Below are 17,300 nucleotides of genomic sequence, written 5' to 3' on the forward strand. Positions count from 1 at the left end.
TTACAGGCGTGAGCCACCGTGTCCAGCCCATAGTCTTATAGGTTTAGTTCATTTCTCACCCATGCCAGCCTGATGGGCCCTTTTTTTGTAGCAGCAGTTTACTTGAATATTGACAATGCCCAAATGGAATAACAAAAAGTGTTGACATTCTTCTTTTTTTTGAGACAGTGTCTCACTCTGTTGTCCAGGCTGGAGTGCAGTGGTACAATCTTGGCTCACTGCAACCTCCACCTCCTGGGTTCAAGCGATTCTTCTGCCTGAGCCTCCCAAGTAGCTGGGATGACAGGTGCACGCCACTTGCCTGGCTAATTTTTGTATTTTTAGTAGAGACAGGGTTTTGCCATGTTGGCCAGGCTGATCCCAACCCCAGGTGATCCTTCTGCCTCAGACTCCCAAAGTGTTGGGATTACAGGCGTGAGTGACCACACCTGGTCAACAGGAATTTTTTGATGTTGACATAACTAAGTGAATTTTAGATCTCCTTTAAAGTTTTAGGAAAGCTGGTTGTCCTTATTATTCCAATAATCTGAAGAAGGCCTCCTTTCAGAGTTTCCAGATAAAATGTGGGACATACCCAAAAAAAAATTATTTGGTCGGGTGCAGTGGCTCACATCTGTAATCCCAGCACTTTGGGAGGCTGAGGCGGGCAGATCACTTGAGGCCAGGAGTTTGAGACCAGCCTGGCCGACATGGTGAAACCCCATCTCTACTAAAAACACAAAAAAATCAGCTAGGCATGGTGGCACATGCTGGTAATTCTAGCTACTCAGGAGGCTGAGGCATGAGAATCATTTGAATTTGGGAGGCGGAGGTTGCAGTGAGCTAAGATTGTGCCACTGCACTCCAACCTGGGTGACAAAGCAGACTCTGCCTCTAAGGAAAAAAAAAAGTTATTTGTTGTTTAGCTGAAATTCAAATTTAAATAGGCATATGGTTTTTGTTTTTGAAATCTGTTATCCATACCGCCTGTGCATGTGTGTGCATAAGAAATAATATGGGGCTGGTGTTTTATCTTATTTTTAATTTTTTTGTTTGTTTGTTTTAGAGACAGGATCTCACTATGTTGCCCAGCTGGTCTTTCAGCTCCTGGGCTGAAGCAGTCCTCCTGCCCTGCCTCCCAAAGTGCTGGGATTATAGGCATGAGCCACTGTGCCCGACCTGGTGTTTTAATTACTTTTTGAAAGGCCCAATACTTTTGTTTCATCTGCTTTTACTTTGTCTTTGGTTAGTCATAGAAAGAACTGAAAAAGGAGCCAGATGAAATAAACAGTGACTCTGACTTCAGCATCACTGTGGGCTTAAACAGATGTAAGCTTACAGAGAACTTTTGGACATGGAAAGTGATTTGGTTCTTTCCTTTCTGTGCTAATGTCAAATTTAGCTTTCACTTTTTTTTCCCCAGCATTTCCAGAACTCTCTCTTCCTTTATTCCCTTACAGTGATAATCATTTTCTACTCAATTTTAGATTCGATTGGTATTACCTTTGGCTTTCTTTTTGCCAGTATGGTCTAGCAGACAGAGCAGGCTTTGTAATCAGACCAACCTTGTTTTTATTCCAGACTCTTTGACTTACTAGCTCTTTGATCTTTTTGATATTACTTAATTTGAAGGCTCTTGTGAGAATAAAATTGAGCTAATATAGTTTACATAAAGCACTTGGTATTGTGCCCGGCACATTGTAATGCTAGTTATCATCCCTTTCCTATGCAAATTGGGATGAGGGAGTCAGCATTATCACTTCGCATTGTTGAAGTTCTCAATAATGACATAGAAACATAGTTACAAATGAATATTGCCTAATGGGCTGAGAATGGATCCCTTTAAAGTAATTCCTTTGTTTCAGTTTAATCATATTTAGCTGTGCTTTTAAAAGCTTGAATTTTTAGTCCTATTCCTGGCACTCTGTATTAGCTACCAATATTTGCTTTTAAAAATTAATAAAAATATGAAAAATCAAGAATAGGCAAATCCAGAGAGATAGAAAGTAGATTAGTGGTTCAGGAGCTAGGGAAGGAGAATGGGGAGTGACTGCTTAATCAGTACAGGGTTTCTTTTTCTTTTTTCTTTTAGAGACTGGGTCTCGTTCTGTCACCCAGGTTGAAGTGCAGTGGCATGAACACAGCCCACTGCATCCTCGACCTCCTGGGCTCAAGTGATCTCACCTCAGCCTTCCAAGTAGCTGGGACTATAGGTGTGTGCCACCATGCCCGGCTAATTTTTTATTTTTTTTGTAGAGACGGGGTGTTCCTATGTTACCCAGGCTGGTCTTGAACTCATGGGCACATCCCATGATGTTCCCTCTTCTAAAAGGACTGTTACTGCTTAAATTATACCAATTCCTGACTTTTTTGCTTATTGTCATTTTGTAAAATGGAGGCAAGGGAAAAGTGATTCAGAGAAGACGTTGTATTGTTTATGATTACTTTTATCCTTATTTTATTTTTGAAGCATTAAGAGTATCAACAGTGCTGAATTAAATGCAATTTCTTTTTAGTTTAAAGTTTACAGTGGTAAGTGATCCTCTGGATGAAGAAAAGAAAGAATGTGAAGAAGTGGGATATGCATATCTTCAACTGTGGCAGATCCTGGAGTCAGGAAGAGATATTCTAGAGCAAGAGCTAGACAGTGAGTCATTTTTTTTTCAGTTCTAATTATTTCCAAGGAAATCATCCTAATAGTGAATATATTTTATCTTCAATACATAATTATTACTATGAAGTTGATAAGACACAAAGTGGATTGAAATCTTATCCCTACAACTGTATTTATTTCTGGATCCAACATTAAAGTAGTCAGTTGTGTATTTTTACCCCCATATACCTGATTACAACTAGAATTGATTTTGAATCTACAATGTTTGAAAAGGAGATTTTTAAAAAGACAAGTTATTTTCATTTCAAATTTATACATCAGAATTTTGGACCTCTCTTGAGCATTTTCGTATAGGCAGCTGATGCCCATTCTTTATGTTATCATGCATCCAGTCTTTTTTTTTTTTTTTTTTTTGAGATGGAGCCTCACTCTGTCGCCCAGGCTGGAGTGCAGTGGTGTGATCTCAGCTCACTGCAACCTCTGCCTCCCAGGTTCCAGCTGTTCTCCTGCCTCAGCTTCCTGCCTCAGCTTCCATGGTGTGCCACCATGCCTGGCTAATTTTTGTATTTTTAGTAGAGACCGTGTTTTACCATGTTGGCCAGACTGGTCTCGAACTCCTGACCTCAAGTGATCTGCTTGCCTTGGCCTCCCAAAGTGCTGGGATTGCAGGTGTGAGCCACTGCACCTGGCCCATCTTGTCTCTTAAAAAGACATTAACTGTCTCCTCTTTCCTCACATTCACTGGTCATTAAGTCTTATCCATTCTACTTGTGAATTGACTATGCTCTCCTTACTACAATTTTTTTTTTTTTTTTTTTTGAGACAGAGTCTCTCTCTGTTGCCCAGGCTGGAGTGCAGTGGTGTGATCTCGGCTCACTGCAACCTCCACCTCCCAGGTTAAAGCGATTCTCCTGCCTCAACCTCCTGGGTAGCTGGGACTACAGGCACCTGCCACCACGCCAGCTAATTTTTGTATTTTTAGTAGAGACGGGCTTTCACCATGTTGCCCAGGCTGGTCTCGAACTCTTGGACTCAAGCAATCCACCCTCTTTTGCCTCCCAAAGTGTTGGCATTACAGGCATAAACCACTGCGCCCGGCCTCCTTAAATATAATTACTATAATTTCTTTCTTTTTTTTTTTTTTTTTTGAGATGGAGTCTTGCTCTTGTTGCCCAGGCTGGAGTGCAATGGACCGATCTCAGCTCACCACAACCTCTGCCTCTTTCTTAATCAAGCGATTTTCCTGCCTCAGCCTCCCTAGTAGCTGGGATTACAGGCATGAACCACCACGCCCAGCTAATTTTGTATATTTAGTAGAGATGGGGTTTCTTCATGTTGGTCAGGCTGGTCTCGAACTCCCAACCTCATGTGATTCGCCCTCCACTCAGCCTCCCAAAGTGCTGGGATTACAGGCGTGAGCCACCGCGCCCAGCCATATAATTTCTAAACTGGTCTTCCTGCCACCGGTTTCTTCTACCCCATTTCCATCTACTATAGTAAATACATAATACATTTGATCACTGCCTTCTTCTTAAATCCTTTTACAGTTTGCTATAGATCAGCATGTTTTAAAAACATTTGTATTTGAGTACCTTTAGTTGGGACTGCGCTGTCCAGTCTTCACTGTTCCCATTACCTTACATAGCTGGGATGTCACCTATCTTATCTGCTAGGACCTTCAGACACTTAAGATTATCCACTAGATCAATGTTTTTCAAACTTCCAGACACACACCCCATTAGTGGATGTGAAACTGAATTAGTAAATCACAAGGAAATTTGAAAAATGCAAACCAAAACTGTGGGAAAGAAAACAGGAATTAAAGGCCAGGCGAGGTGGCTCATGCCTGTAATCCCAGCACTTTGGGATGCCGAGATGGGCGGATCACCTGAGGTCAGGAGTTCGAGACCAGCCTGGCCAATATGGTGAAACCCCATCTCTACTAAAAATACAAAAAAAATTAGCCAGGCATGGCGGCGGACACCTGTAATCCCAGCTACTCGGAAGGATGAGGCAGAATTGCTTGAACCCGGGAGGCGGAGGTTGCAGTGAGCTGAGATCAAGTCACCGCACTCCAGCCTGGGTGACAGAACAAGACTCTGTCTCCAAAAAAAAAAAAAAAAAAAAGAAAACAGGAATTAAGAGTACATAGCACATATTGTCTTGTGAAACTTGTTTTATGTATTGTTTAATGAATCATGGTATAAAATTATTCTTACTGATCATTATAAACATTTTTTGAGGAATACTCCTCAGACCCTAAGGTTTACAAAGTTCAAATGTTAGATAAGATTCTAATTATATTCCTCTAGTATCTTTCCAACTGTGATCCTTAGTCTTTTTCCTCATCTATAAAACGGGAATAACAGCAGTCTCTATCTTACTGAGTTGTGAAGATTAAGGAAGCACTTAAATAAGGGATTAAGGGGCTTAGGGTAGTGCCTGGCATAAGGCAAGTGACGTTATCTTTGTGGGCTATTTTCCAACTCACTCCTATCCCCATTCCTAAACATGCTATGTTCTTCCTGACCTCCATGCCATTTGTATGTGCACAGGGAAAATCCACTTAAGACTTTTCTGGTGATTTCTCCAGAAATCCTTTCCAATTTGTCCATTCTGGTGCAGATGCCTCGTTATGTCCCCAAAGCAACTTGTGCTTCCATTTATTATATAGCACCTATACACTATACCATTTTCCTTTCTCCTTCACTAGATTGAGTCCTCTTATGAAATGGGTAATTTCATTCATTTAGCATCCCCAGTACCTAACCTGACAAATACCAAGTATCAAAGTGTTCAACTGAGTGATGCTGTTTTTTTCCCTTTCCCAACAGTTGTTAGCCCTGAAGATCTGGCTACCCCAATAGGAAGGCTGAAGGTTTCCCTTCAAGCAGCTGCTGTCCTCCATGCTATTTACAAGGAGATGACTGAAGATTTGTTTTCATGAAGGAACAAGTGCTATTCCAATCTAAAAGTCTCTGAGGGAACCATAGTAAAAAGTCTCTTATAAAGTTAGCTTGCTATAACATGAATTTGGTTTACTGTGATGTCTAGTGTCTCTCAATCTAATGATGAAAGTTTAGAATGATGAAAGTTTCATTTGTAAAACTAGCTAGCTAAAGGCATTTTTCTCCAGTACCTTAGCACTTTACCAGGCAGGAAGCAGGCTTGCTTTCAAGAACTGAAAATGAACGGTCACAGGTGAATTTACAAAAACAAACAACAAAAAAAACCCAGTTTATTCATCTTTTAGTTCTTCCAAAATTGAAAATATCAAGTCCTACTGCTAAGGAGAAAAAACAAACAAACATAAAATCCGGGACCCCTCCCCCCTTCTTCTCTTAAAGTCACAGAGCACGGAAGGAACTGCAGTGGGACAGGTGGGTGCAGAGAACCAGAAGGGGAGGATGGCAAGATAAACTCCCCAAATACTTGAAAAGCTGTTCAACAGAAACTGTGATAAATACAGGACAATGCAAGACAAAGTTAAAATAAGGAGCAGCAGTGCCGAGAGGCTGTGTTGTAGATATGGCCTCCCTTCCTCTTCTCTTTTCTCATCAGGGTATTCTAGGCCCAAGGCATGACTTGTCCCTTCCAGATATAAATGTTGACTCCTTTGAGCCTTCCTCTACATTTCACTAGAAGCGGTACATGAGGCACAACCTGATATATCTTCCTTAGATATATGAGAAAAAAAAGAAGACAGTGGCAATTTTGCCTTCTATCATTGTACCATGTGTGCATTGTATGGAGAAAATAACCGAGCCAGGGAGTATCACTGCTTCTTATGTCTTCCAAGGCAGCAGATATACCTCAGAATCTGCACGAGGCAGGAAAGCAGGAAAACTCAGACGAAGGCACCAGCCCAATCTGCCTCACTGGCTCAAGCTGTATGGTTTATCACAACCATTAGCAAATTTCCGAGAACCTTGAGTATTGCAAAGATAAAACTTAGAGATGTGCGGAAGGTCATGGCAGTAGGGTAGGTTGGAGGATTGAATGTGCTGGTCAAGAACCATGATACGGGTAATTAAGGGTCACCTTGTACCACTGTCTTGGAAATACAGCTTTGAGACACCAAATAAGATGTCAGAAGCCATCAATGTCTTGGCAGAAGGTGACAGGAAGAGAGAAGAATGAAACAATATTTATTAACAGCGGGAGCCTCCTCCTGTCTTCAAGAACACCTCCTCCCTTGCCATCTGAATGGGGCCATTGGCACGTGTCCTGGTGGGCCTGGAATTCCCCGAGTAGATTGGTCCACACAAATGGCCCCCTAAACCCATAAACACAAATGGCAAAACTTCAAATGAAAACGAAAGGAAAAATACAGTTTCTATGTCATGTAAAATTTTCAGGGGTTGGCTGGAGGAAGAATGGAGCTCAGGGCCAAAGTTCAGAAGTTACTTCCTCTTTTTCTTGGGGGGTGCAGAGCTGTGTCTGGAACCACGGTTAGAGCCACGGCCCGAACTGTGCACAGATGCCTTCCTCTTCCGGCTCATACTTCGACTTTGTTCTTCTTCTTCCTCGTAACGACTTTCTCGGTCCGCTAAATAGAAGAGGCATTATTAGTTAGCAATAGGTAAGCTTTAGGTACCTAATATTACTGGATAGCATGAGATAGTACAGAGAATACACTTTGGAATCAGACCCAAGTTTTAATATTGGGCAAGTACTTTCTGAACCTTGGTTTATTTACAAAAGGGAGAATTATTTAAGGGTTAAATAAGGTAACCTATGAAAACTACCTATTCCCAATGCTTGGAACACAGCAGTTAATATTTATTTCCTTTTAAGCTTTAAAACGTTTGTTTGGGGTTTGGCTTCAGAGTAACTAGATTAGCATTATAAAGACATGCCTAACCTGGAAGAAGCCTAGAAAATTAAAGTATTATAGGATTTAGGTTTGGAAACTGAGTAGGCTAATTCTTGAGTATTACATGAATATGTGGCTATCATGGCTATAGGAAAGATGGGGGCTTGCGCAGATGAAAACAGCATCCAGTTTGGCAGAGCACTGCCCACTGGAGAGTATGGACACATTCCACACCTCATTTTCTCCTTCAGTCAATGAAGTTGTATCTGTGGCTCCAAAGCACTTTTATAGTGTTCTTTTGTTACTTTCATTACGCCATCAATACTAACACCTCAAAATATTGAAATGTGTTAGAAATTTGTGCGTAGACAAATGAATAAAAAACAACACATTTTTAAAAACCTTTTCGGGCTTCTTCCTCCAGTTCATCCCAATCCTTTCCACTCTCTTCTTCACTACCCAATGACTCCTTAGAATAGTCTGGAAGAAAATTAATTAAGCGTTAGTCATCATGCGGGAACAGAATGGAACGACAGAGTTCTTAGTCTAAAAAAAGTAGTTTTCAGAAATGACATTAGATTAGGAAGCCAGGACGAACTTTGCTCTGTAAGACTAACCTGACTCTTCTGCTTCTGATGAATAATCTTCATCACTGTCCTCCTCTTCCTCTTCATAGTCATCTTCTGAAGGATTAAAAGTCTCATCTTCAATTTCAGACTCTGAATCCCCTTCTTCAGCATCACTCCCCTGGTGAGTTAGAGCATAATACTGATTTTTTTTTGACATTTACCTTATTAACTTAATGAATTAATTCAGCCCACATAGTATACCAGTATTTACATGAAGAAAACAAGAGCAAAATAATCTGAGGGATCAAGAGATAAAATGACTTGTTTAAAATTAGTGGTCAGGTGCAATTATTATTTTACTATTATTATGTATTATTACATTTCTGAAAAATTCACGTTAGCCTTCCTCACCCAGGGAAATTAACAACAGAAAGACTTTCTGTATTTACGTATCACACAAACGTTAAGTGGATCATTTTTTAAAAAATAATTTTTGCAAAATGCCCTGAAGGATTTTTCCCTAAATGCTAAGAAACTCATTGAGGAAAAGTTTTTGTAATTTCCAAGAAATCTTGTCAGGAGTTAGTTACCACTGCCCAATCAATTTATCAATTTGAAGAAACAATAATATCAAGTGGTGTTTAGAGCTTCTCCCAGATGGCCTAGTCCCTTATGTACTACTCATATTCCATTCTAACTGACCAAATGATAGCGGGCAACACTGTGTACCAGAAAAGAAACCCCACACTCACGCACCTCACCCTCAGGCTCCAGGAAAGACCAGCCACCTTGTTCGAAGAAGCCCTCAGGGTCATCAACAATGGTCTTCATGATTTTAGTCCAGTTGAGGGACTGTACTCCTTCTGTGTATTTCAGGTCGCAGGAACTAAGAGAAATGACATGACAAAGTCAAATCAATCTTCTGTATTTTCCATATATTCTTTCTTCTTTTTTTGAGACAGAGTCTTGCTCTGTTGCCCAGGCTGGAGTGCAGTGGCACAATCTTCGCTCACTGCAACCTCTGCCTCCTAGGTTCAAGTGATTCTCCTGCCTCAGCCTCCCGAGTATCTGGGATTACAGGCGCATGCCACCATGCCTGGCTAATTTTTATATTTTTAGTAGAGACAGGGTTTTGCCATGTTGGTCAGGCTGGTCTAGAACTCCTGACTTCAGGTGAATAACCTGCCTCAGCCTCCCAAAGTGCTGGGATTACAGGTGTGAGCCACCGCGCCCTGCCTGGGAGCAGATATTCTTTGCACTATGCCACCAGATCATGTCCCAATGGCTGCTATTTGATCTCCTAGAGCACTAGCCCTCACAACAGACCAACATTCCAACTGAAACAAGCTTTCTCCTTCACCTGAGTCTGAGCTCATCCTCTCCCATTTTCTTCCTTAAACACCAATTTCCCTCTTCTTCACTTAGTCTTCTCTCCTATTCACCCATGCTTTTCCCTCTCTGTCACTGATTCCATTCTTATTTCTAAGTAGTCTTAACTCATAACCACTTCTGCGATTCTGTTTTTCACTATTGTAGTTAAGAAATAGGGACAATTTTCAGCCGGGTGCGGTGGCTCACGCCTGTAATCCCAGCACTTTGGGAGGCCAAGGCAGGCGGATCACGAGGTCAGGAGATCGAGACCATCTTGGCTAACACGGTGAAACCCCGTCCTACTAAAAATACAAAAAATTAGCCAGGCATGGTAGCACGCGCCTGTAGTCCCAGCTACTTGGGAGGCTGAAGCAGGAGAATCGCTTGAACCTGGGAGGTGGAGGTTGCAGTGAGCCGAGATCGTGCCACTGCACTCCAGCCTGGGCAACAGAGTGAGACTCTGTCTCAAAAAAATATATAATAATAATAAAAAAAAAAAAAAAAAAAAAAAGAAAGAAACAGGGACAATTTTCAATGGCCCTAGCCTTTCTTCTTCAACCTTTCACTGCTTTCCTATGTGTTGTTTATTTGATGCAAAATCTGTATGAAGGTAGGAACAAATTTTTTTTCCCAGTACCTAAAGTGCCCTGTATTTAGACAATGCTCAAATGACTTTCTCTTTCTCACTTCTGTTGAGGAGGGCTGAATCAGTTAAGAGTGGGTAAGAAGAAAAAAATCAAAGAAATGACAATAGTAAGGATAAAAACAAACAACCATAAAATCTGCCTGAGAACCACTGGCATAAATCCACTTTAGACAATATACACGGCAACTTCTGCTTCCAGCCATGATGGAGTAACAATGACTAGATTTACTTTCCCACCTTAAACAACTACAAAACAAAATATGAAACAACAGTTTTCAGACATTGGATAAAAAGCAGCACAAGACCATAATCCCTGAAAGAAGGAAACAACAAGGGTTAATTGAACATTTGCCCCAGTTTTCTGTCTAGAGGCAATTCCTAGCCTGCTATGCAGGGAGGGAGAATCCACCACAACCTGATGGTCTCCAGGAACTGAGACAAAGTAGGATTTGGGAAGGCTGGGACAGCTAGAATTTGTGGAGAAGAGTACAGGAAGGAAGAGTTTCCCAGAGAGAAAGCTCCAGAGATCTGCAGAGGGGTCCCCTCAAGTCTTTGGTGGAGGGATGATCTACACATTCATGAGAAAACTGGAACTGCATAAAGAAGCACTGGAAAGCAGTAGGACAGACAACTCCCAATCTCACACAGAACTAGAAATAAATCGTGTTCCAGTGGATTTATTTCCACCACCTTTCCACCAGCTTCAGCAGAGAGATCTCACAATCCACAGGGCATCAGGCAGACTCTGAAGAGTATTGCCTCGTAGTAAGGCCAATTACTTGGAAGTTTTTGAGTGAAACTTTTAAAGGCTGTTCTAAATCCACACTAATAGACATTTGAGAACAAGCCTTGAAAGATCAAACAGAATCCAACTAACTTGACTGCATCCTAGAATAACCTCATCTCTAGTAAAAAAAAATTAGCTGGGTGTGGTAGCACATGCCTGTAGTCCCAGCTACTTGGGATGCTGATGCAGGAAGGTTGCCTGAATCCAAGAGTTTGAGGCTGCAGTGAGCTGTGACTGCACCACTACACTTGAGCCTGGGCAACACAGTGAGACCCTGTCTCAAACAACCACCACCACCACCACTACAAAATATGTAGAAAATATAAAGATAATGGGTGAAGAGCAGAAAAGGATGCTTCAAAAGCTATTGTAAATATGCTCTACATTGACTGGGTGCAGTGGCTTGTGCCTGTAATCCTGGTACGTTGGGAGACCGACGTGGGAGGATCGCTTGAGCCCAGGAGTTTGAGACCAGCCTGGGCAACACTGAAAACAAAAAAGATCTTAGATTTTGATTTTCTTTGTGTTAAGTATGCACAAGCTATTGTTGGGAATTCAAGAAAAAGTGAACAGCTCCGTTATCTAATAGATCTCAAGTTTTCAAGTCCTGGTCTGTAACAACCAAAAGGCAGTCTCACTTTAAGTATATCAGTAGATTTTATGCACAACATACCACATTCAAATTCTATAAAACAGGGCTCATGGGCTAAATGGGAGACTGATGGCAGATTTACTTACTTCAACCATTCCTTGATGGGGTCAAGAGAGGCTACAGGAATGGCGTTGATCATGGTCACTTTCTTGCTGTAGTCCTTGTAGACGATTACCATATCAAAGTTCTTCAGGTGAAACTGGACCCGCTCAAAGTGGATCAGCTCTACCTCATCCAATGTCACCACAAAAGGTGGCTGTCAGGGAGAAACTGAATCATTAGCATATAAGTATTTCCCCCAAAGCAATAATATTTCAAATAACTTTCATGATCTAAATCACTACATAAAAGATAACTTAAGCTGTTTTTTGGTTTTTTTTTTGAAAGACTGAGGCAGTACAACATACTAAGAAGCCACAGAAAAAGGATCTGCAAGATACAAAAATCATCCCTCAAGGAGAATAAACTCAAGGAAACTATGTGAAGGAACCATTTAAAATAAACTATTTAAAAAGACATTATCTTAAAAAATAAAAAATAAAAAAAAGAGAGATAGGTTCTTGCTATGTTGCCCAGACTGGTCTTGAGTTCCTGGCCTCAAGTGTTCCTCCCACCTTGGCCTCTAATTGTGCTGGGATTACAGGTGTGAGCCATTATGCCTGCCCTAAAGAGACTTTAAAAGTAACATTTGTTCAATGAGTTTTAAGTCTAAGTAAATATCAAAAATGAAAATGACAATAATTAGGATAAAAAACACCTATCCTTCTTTATTTTCTCTAACAATTTTCTTACTAAAAGAAAGTAAGAAACACTCACCCATTCCGTAGCATTTACCAGCGCACTACTAGTGGGCTGAAGGAGGCAGGTACTCCTATAGGGAGCTCCGTTAAATCTGGAAGAGACAAACTTTTAAGACTGAGCTCATCACGAGAGAGACTGCTCCTACCACAACAGACAAACTTCTTCCCTCTCCCCATTCCAAACAGCTCCAGCATACTCACTGGAGACTCATCCAGAGGAAGCCTCTTAAGAGTTAGCCACTCACCTAAACCCTTAAACATTTTCAAGAAAAAATGGATGTCTCAAAGATTATTAGTCATAGGAAAAAAGGATATGATATGTTAAATTATTATTAAAGGAAGAATAATTTATTGTACCAAAAGACAGACCAGTCAAACTTCAAGCCAAAAATAAGATAGGTTACCCCAAGTCCCTAAAAGGCACTTCAAATTCCAGTTCCTCCTTAGTTAGAGCCTCTACTTTCTCAATGAAATTTTTAAAGGCTGTTTTCAGTTTGTGCCTCATTTCTCGTTCCATCTGTAGAAGAAAAAAATATCAAATACAGCCATCACATTTGTTAACAGTACCTCCCCTCAAAAAGTCTGAAGTGCTTTTGTGCTTTAAAATAAAAATTCCAACTTTTAAGTTCAGGAGTGCATGGGCAGGATTTGCAGGTTTGTTACACAGGTAAACGTGTGCCATGGTGGTTTGCTGCACAGATCATCCCTGAAGTGCTTTCGTTGCCCTTCATTCTCTCGTAACTATAAAACTAACATGTACATACACCTTTAATATTTAAGGTCACCATGCCATTACCTGTCAAGCTGAGTCTGCAACCTAAGCCTAAACTCTTGTAATACCCTATCTCAGCAGATACTTGAGTTGCTCTGCACAAACAGATTCAGGGTTGTTTATTTATTTATTTATTTATTTTTGGAGATGGAGTCTTGCTAGTCGCCCAGGCTGGAGTGCGGTGGCGCGATCTTGGCCCACAACCTCTGCCTCCCAGGTTCATGCCATTCTCCCGCCTCAGCCTCCCGAGTAGCTGGGACTACAGGAGCCCGCCACTACACCCGGCTAATTTTTTTGTATTTTTAGTAGAGACAGCGTTTCACTGTGTTAGCCAGGATGGTCTTGATCTCCTGACCTCGTGATCTGCCTGTGTTGGCCTCCCAAAGTGCTGGGATTATAGGCGTGAGCCACTGCACCTGGCTATTTATTTATTGAGATGGAGTCTCACTCTGTCGCCCAGGCTGGAGTGCAGTGGCGCTATCTCAGCTCACTGCAACCTCTGCCTCTTGGGTTCAAGTGATTATCCTGCCTTAGCCTCCCGACTAGCTGGGACTACCACCACCCACCACGCCCAGCTAATTTATGTATTTTTAGTACAGACAGGGTTTCACCACATTGGCCAGGCTGGTCTCGAACTCCTGACCCTCAGGTGATCTGCCCATGTTGGCCTCCCAAAGTGCTGGGATTACAGGCGCGAGTCACCACGCCAGCCCAGTTTGTTTATAAAATACAATCCCTGAGCTTGGATTTGGCCTCATCCTCCCTCACTATCCTGCAAATACAATACTAAATTTCACAAACCTGCTCAGCATAGAGGTCATCTCGGTCATGCATATGCTGATGTTTCCCCAAGTCCGTGGTTATCTCTCCCACTTCTGTGTAGAACTGCACATCCGTGTGCCGCTTCTTCCCAAACATGATGGCATTCTGTCGGCATAAAACAGAAAGAACACAGAAGTCAGAAACACAAAGGTATCTGTGATGGAAATGGCAGTGATCCAAACTTGGGCCTCCACAGCATGCATGCAAAAATAATTAAACCACCCCTGGTGTCATCATAAATAATGATGCTTGGGAATGGAAACAGTGTACATTTGAAAAAGTGCTGTGCTCCTACTTATTACAGGAACTTTGGAAATCATGTTGGTAACAAATCTTATCTAAAGCAAAACTTCATTTTAGAAAGAGAAATCTGGAGATCTCGTATAAAACATTTGCTGGCCACCATATAACACACCAAAGGAACAAACATGCTTATGAGCCCCTTCTAGATGCCAGGCCTTGTGGCCTTTAGAGGCATTATTTTATTTAATCCTCTTAAATGTTCTTAAGTGAGAGGTGATTTTTTCATCACTTTTTTGTTTTTTGTTTTTCACACGCTGTCGCCCAGGCTGGAGTACAATGGCGCGATCTCGGCTCACTGCAACTTCCGCCTCCCAGGTTCAAGCAATTTTCCTGCCTCGGCCTCTCAAGTAGCTGGGATTACAGGCGCTGGCCACTACGCCTGGCTAATTTTTGTATTTTTAGTAGAGACGGGGTTTCATCATGTTGGTCAGGCTGGTGTCGAACTCCCGACCTCAGGTGATCCACCCACCTCGGCCTCCCAAAGTGCTGGGATTGTGGGCATGAGCCACCGCGCCCAGCCCTTTCATCACTATTTTATAGGAAAGAAGCTGAGTGAAATGAAGTGTCTTGCCCAAGAGCTGACAGCTAGTTAAGTAGAAAGGTATACCTTGAGGTGAAAGTGCAAGACAATAATCATTTCTCCATCACAGGGCTGGAACAAAGCATGCTTAATATTATTGTACAAAATATCCACTTTGTCTCCTCGAACAGATGTGAAGCGGAAGCCTGGGGAAAAGAATGAAGAAATGTCAAGCAGTATAATTAAGTTAGGCCAAAAGGCACTGCAACTCTTCTGGCTGATTTGCACAGGGTCAGAGGAAACACCAACAGCTGTATAGAGCTTTCCTTTCCTTCTGGCCACACAGCAGTGTAAGTAGATTCCTCCCAGCATTTCCTTGTCATACTTTATTAGCACCATGCTTTAACCAACTGAGCTAACCGGCGGATGGCTCTTTGTCATATTTTATTATCTGATCTGTCATTCCTAACAAATGTGCCCTGAAGAGAAAGCCTAGGTACAGGAGAGATCATCCATACCATTGACATGGGCCTCCAGTGAGCCTTGCATCCTCTTTTGGGCAATATTTGGGCGAATGTATAGATCTTTCAGTTTCGGATTACTCCGGTTTAGATTGATCACCAGTGAGTCTTGTTTTACAATCCCCTAAGCAAGAAGAAAATTAATGTGAATTGTCACATATCCTTACAAGTCTCCAAAAAATACATGTCCTTCTTTGTGTAAGAATGTTTTGCCTGTGTTCAGGCTCACCTCCTTCTCTTTCTCTTCAGCTTCTCGAGTTTTATAACGTTTCTGTACTTCTTTAATAATTCGGAAAGCATTCTGAAGGTTCAAGGCTGGTACTGTCTGTTCTCCGGGTGCCTTAATATTTGATGCTCGGTATGTACTGCAGAAAAGCAACAGCATTTATAGACATTTCTTTTTCAGGCCAGGGAAATTGTACTGATTTACTTTATCTTCTAAGCAGCTTAATCTCTACTTTGCTTTTTTTTTTTTTTTTTTTTTTTGAGACAGGGTGTGCCTCTGTCACCCAGGCTGGAGTGCAGTGGCCCAATCTTAGCTCACTGCAACCTTCGCCTCCTGGGTTCAAGCCATCCTCCCACCTCAGCCTTCCAAGTACCTGGGATTACAGGTACACACCACCATGCCCGGCTAGTTTTTGTATTTTTAGCAGATACAGGGTTTTGCCATGTTGACCAGGCTGGTCTTGAACTCCTGGCCTCATGTAATCTGCCTGCCTCTGCCTCCCGAAGTGCTGGGATTACAGGCGTGAGCCACCATGCATGCCCATTCCTTCTTTTTTCATTTTTCAAATCTGGTATAACATCCCCAAATTATCCCATTTCACACCATGAAATCATAGAATCCAATGTGGCACCAGTTTTCTTATTTGAAGATTCTACTGCAATATATGTTTATTACTTTTAACACTTATTTTCATAATTATTTTTTTTTTGAGACAAGGTCTCGTTCTGTTGCTCAGGCTGGATGGAGTACAGGCAAGATCAGGGCTCACTGCAGCCTCAACCTCCCAGGCTCAAGGAATCCTCTCACCTCAGCCTCCACAGTAGCTGGATGACGGGTGCACACCACCACCCCTGGTTAATTATTTTTTAGAAGAGACAAGGTCTCACTATATTACCCAGGCTCAAAATATGTTTAGTAAATATATAGTATCTTCAAGAAGATTCTAAATTGGGATCCATCCTGAAAATAGTACAAAGTCAAGAAGGCGATCCGAAACAAGTACCAATGAGGAAGGCTTTGACATTTACTAGGTAGGGAAAATGTAGCACAGACAATGAAATGTTTCTGAGAGTACCACTCCAGACAAGATGAATCTGGGTATGACTTTTCTTGGGGACTCACATTTCCTTGACAAAAGTCGCTTCAGGGTTAGGAAAGATGTTGCCTTCATTCCTGCCCAGAGCACTGCCTGGGCAATAAAAGTTGATTCGCAAGTAAGTATAATCTCCTTCCACGGACATACTTATATTCTGTTCAAAGGAAAAGCATAAAAAGTAAACAGATTTCTTTCCTAGAGATTAGTAGTTACAGAGATGTTAAAATTAAGTTAGGAGTTACAAATTGACCGCTCTTAACCTTAATCTAAATCTAATAAATTTACATAATTTATCTTTTTAATAACGAAGTATCCTTTTCCCAAAAAAATCTCTGAATTCTCAAAGTACCTTGTACCATGAATACAACTAAAAGTTAAACAATGATTAAACGAAGTTGAAAGAAAGATAGGCAAATTATGTTTCTAGACTAGTTTAGCTTTCTACTAAGTGAAAAAAACTGAAAGAGGAAGGAGAATGACAAGACAAGAGGGATGTCAGTAACTGAACAGAGTCTGAAGGAGTCAAAAGTGGGAGACATGATGAATGCAGATTATTTATGGCAAATACAATTACTATTTTAAGCAACAGTTTGGATGAAACCTGATGCACTGAATGTCAGTACCTTGATTGTGGCAATGTGAAACGGTGTTGCAATGCCAAACACGGGCATTATTACAGTCTCATATTTCTTATCGATGTAGATCTTCATTTCCCGAATATGTGGTTCCTTAGGCATCAGAGATGGGTTTTTATAGGACACATTAGACTTGCGAGCTCTGGAGTGGGATAAAAAAACAACTGAGAA

General features: G+C 41.4%; 2 protein-coding genes across 20 annotated transcripts in view, besides 2 other annotated features; one reads left to right on the plus strand and one right to left on the minus strand.

The window, feature by feature from the left end:
- RPGRIP1 (RPGR interacting protein 1) overlaps positions 1 to 5,625 on the plus strand; it is a 71,219-nt gene extending 65,594 nt beyond the window's left edge. For all 18 annotated transcript variants that reach the window (NM_020366.4, XM_005267879.2, NM_001377948.1 and 15 more), the window contains 2 exons: positions 2,496 to 2,626; positions 5,428 to 5,625. In NM_020366.4, coding sequence (NP_065099.3) covers positions 2,496 to 2,626; positions 5,428 to 5,540 — 244 coding nt within the window. In that variant the 3' untranslated portion in view covers positions 5,541 to 5,625. The remainder of the gene's footprint in view (positions 1 to 2,495; positions 2,627 to 5,427) is intronic.
- Positions 3,496 to 3,675: a silencer, noted in NCBI's record as "fragment chr14:21817331-21817510 (GRCh37/hg19 assembly coordinates)". NCBI's record gives its function as "represses an EF-1alpha promoter that drives an FKBP-Casp9 reporter gene in an ReSE screen in phorbol 12-myristate 13-acetate-treated (for megakaryocytic differentiation) K562 erythroleukemia cells {active_cell/tissue: K562(+PMA)}" and the evidence as "EXISTENCE:reporter gene assay evidence [ECO:0000049][PMID:32094911]".
- SUPT16H (SPT16 homolog, facilitates chromatin remodeling subunit) overlaps positions 5,800 to 17,300 on the minus strand; it is a 32,544-nt gene continuing 21,043 nt past the window's right edge. For both annotated transcript variants that reach the window (NM_007192.4, XM_047430899.1), the window contains 13 exons: positions 17,118 to 17,271; positions 16,521 to 16,648; positions 15,402 to 15,537; positions 15,170 to 15,296; positions 14,739 to 14,857; positions 13,808 to 13,933; positions 12,639 to 12,751; positions 12,251 to 12,326; positions 11,521 to 11,690; positions 8,735 to 8,864; positions 8,027 to 8,156; positions 7,812 to 7,889; positions 5,800 to 7,142 (listed from right to left, as the gene is read on the minus strand). In NM_007192.4, coding sequence (NP_009123.1) covers positions 6,997 to 7,142; positions 7,812 to 7,889; positions 8,027 to 8,156; positions 8,735 to 8,864; positions 11,521 to 11,690; positions 12,251 to 12,326; positions 12,639 to 12,751; positions 13,808 to 13,933; positions 14,739 to 14,857; positions 15,170 to 15,296; positions 15,402 to 15,537; positions 16,521 to 16,648; positions 17,118 to 17,271 — 1,633 coding nt within the window. In that variant the 3' untranslated portion in view covers positions 5,800 to 6,996. The remainder of the gene's footprint in view (positions 7,143 to 7,811; positions 7,890 to 8,026; positions 8,157 to 8,734; positions 8,865 to 11,520; positions 11,691 to 12,250; positions 12,327 to 12,638; positions 12,752 to 13,807; positions 13,934 to 14,738; positions 14,858 to 15,169; positions 15,297 to 15,401; positions 15,538 to 16,520; positions 16,649 to 17,117; positions 17,272 to 17,300) is intronic.
- Positions 6,308 to 7,507: an enhancer, noted in NCBI's record as "BRD4-independent group 4 enhancer chr14:21820143-21821342 (GRCh37/hg19 assembly coordinates)". NCBI's record gives its function as "activates an origin of replication core promoter dependent on BRD2, P300/CBP, MED14 and CDK7 cofactors, and independent of BRD4, by STARR-seq in HCT116 cells {active_cell/tissue: HCT116}" and the evidence as "EXISTENCE:reporter gene assay evidence [ECO:0000049][PMID:35650434]".

Source organism: Homo sapiens, chromosome 14 (assembly GCF_000001405.40).
Source record: "Homo sapiens chromosome 14, GRCh38.p14 Primary Assembly".
NCBI lineage: Eukaryota > Metazoa > Chordata > Mammalia > Primates > Hominidae > Homo > Homo sapiens.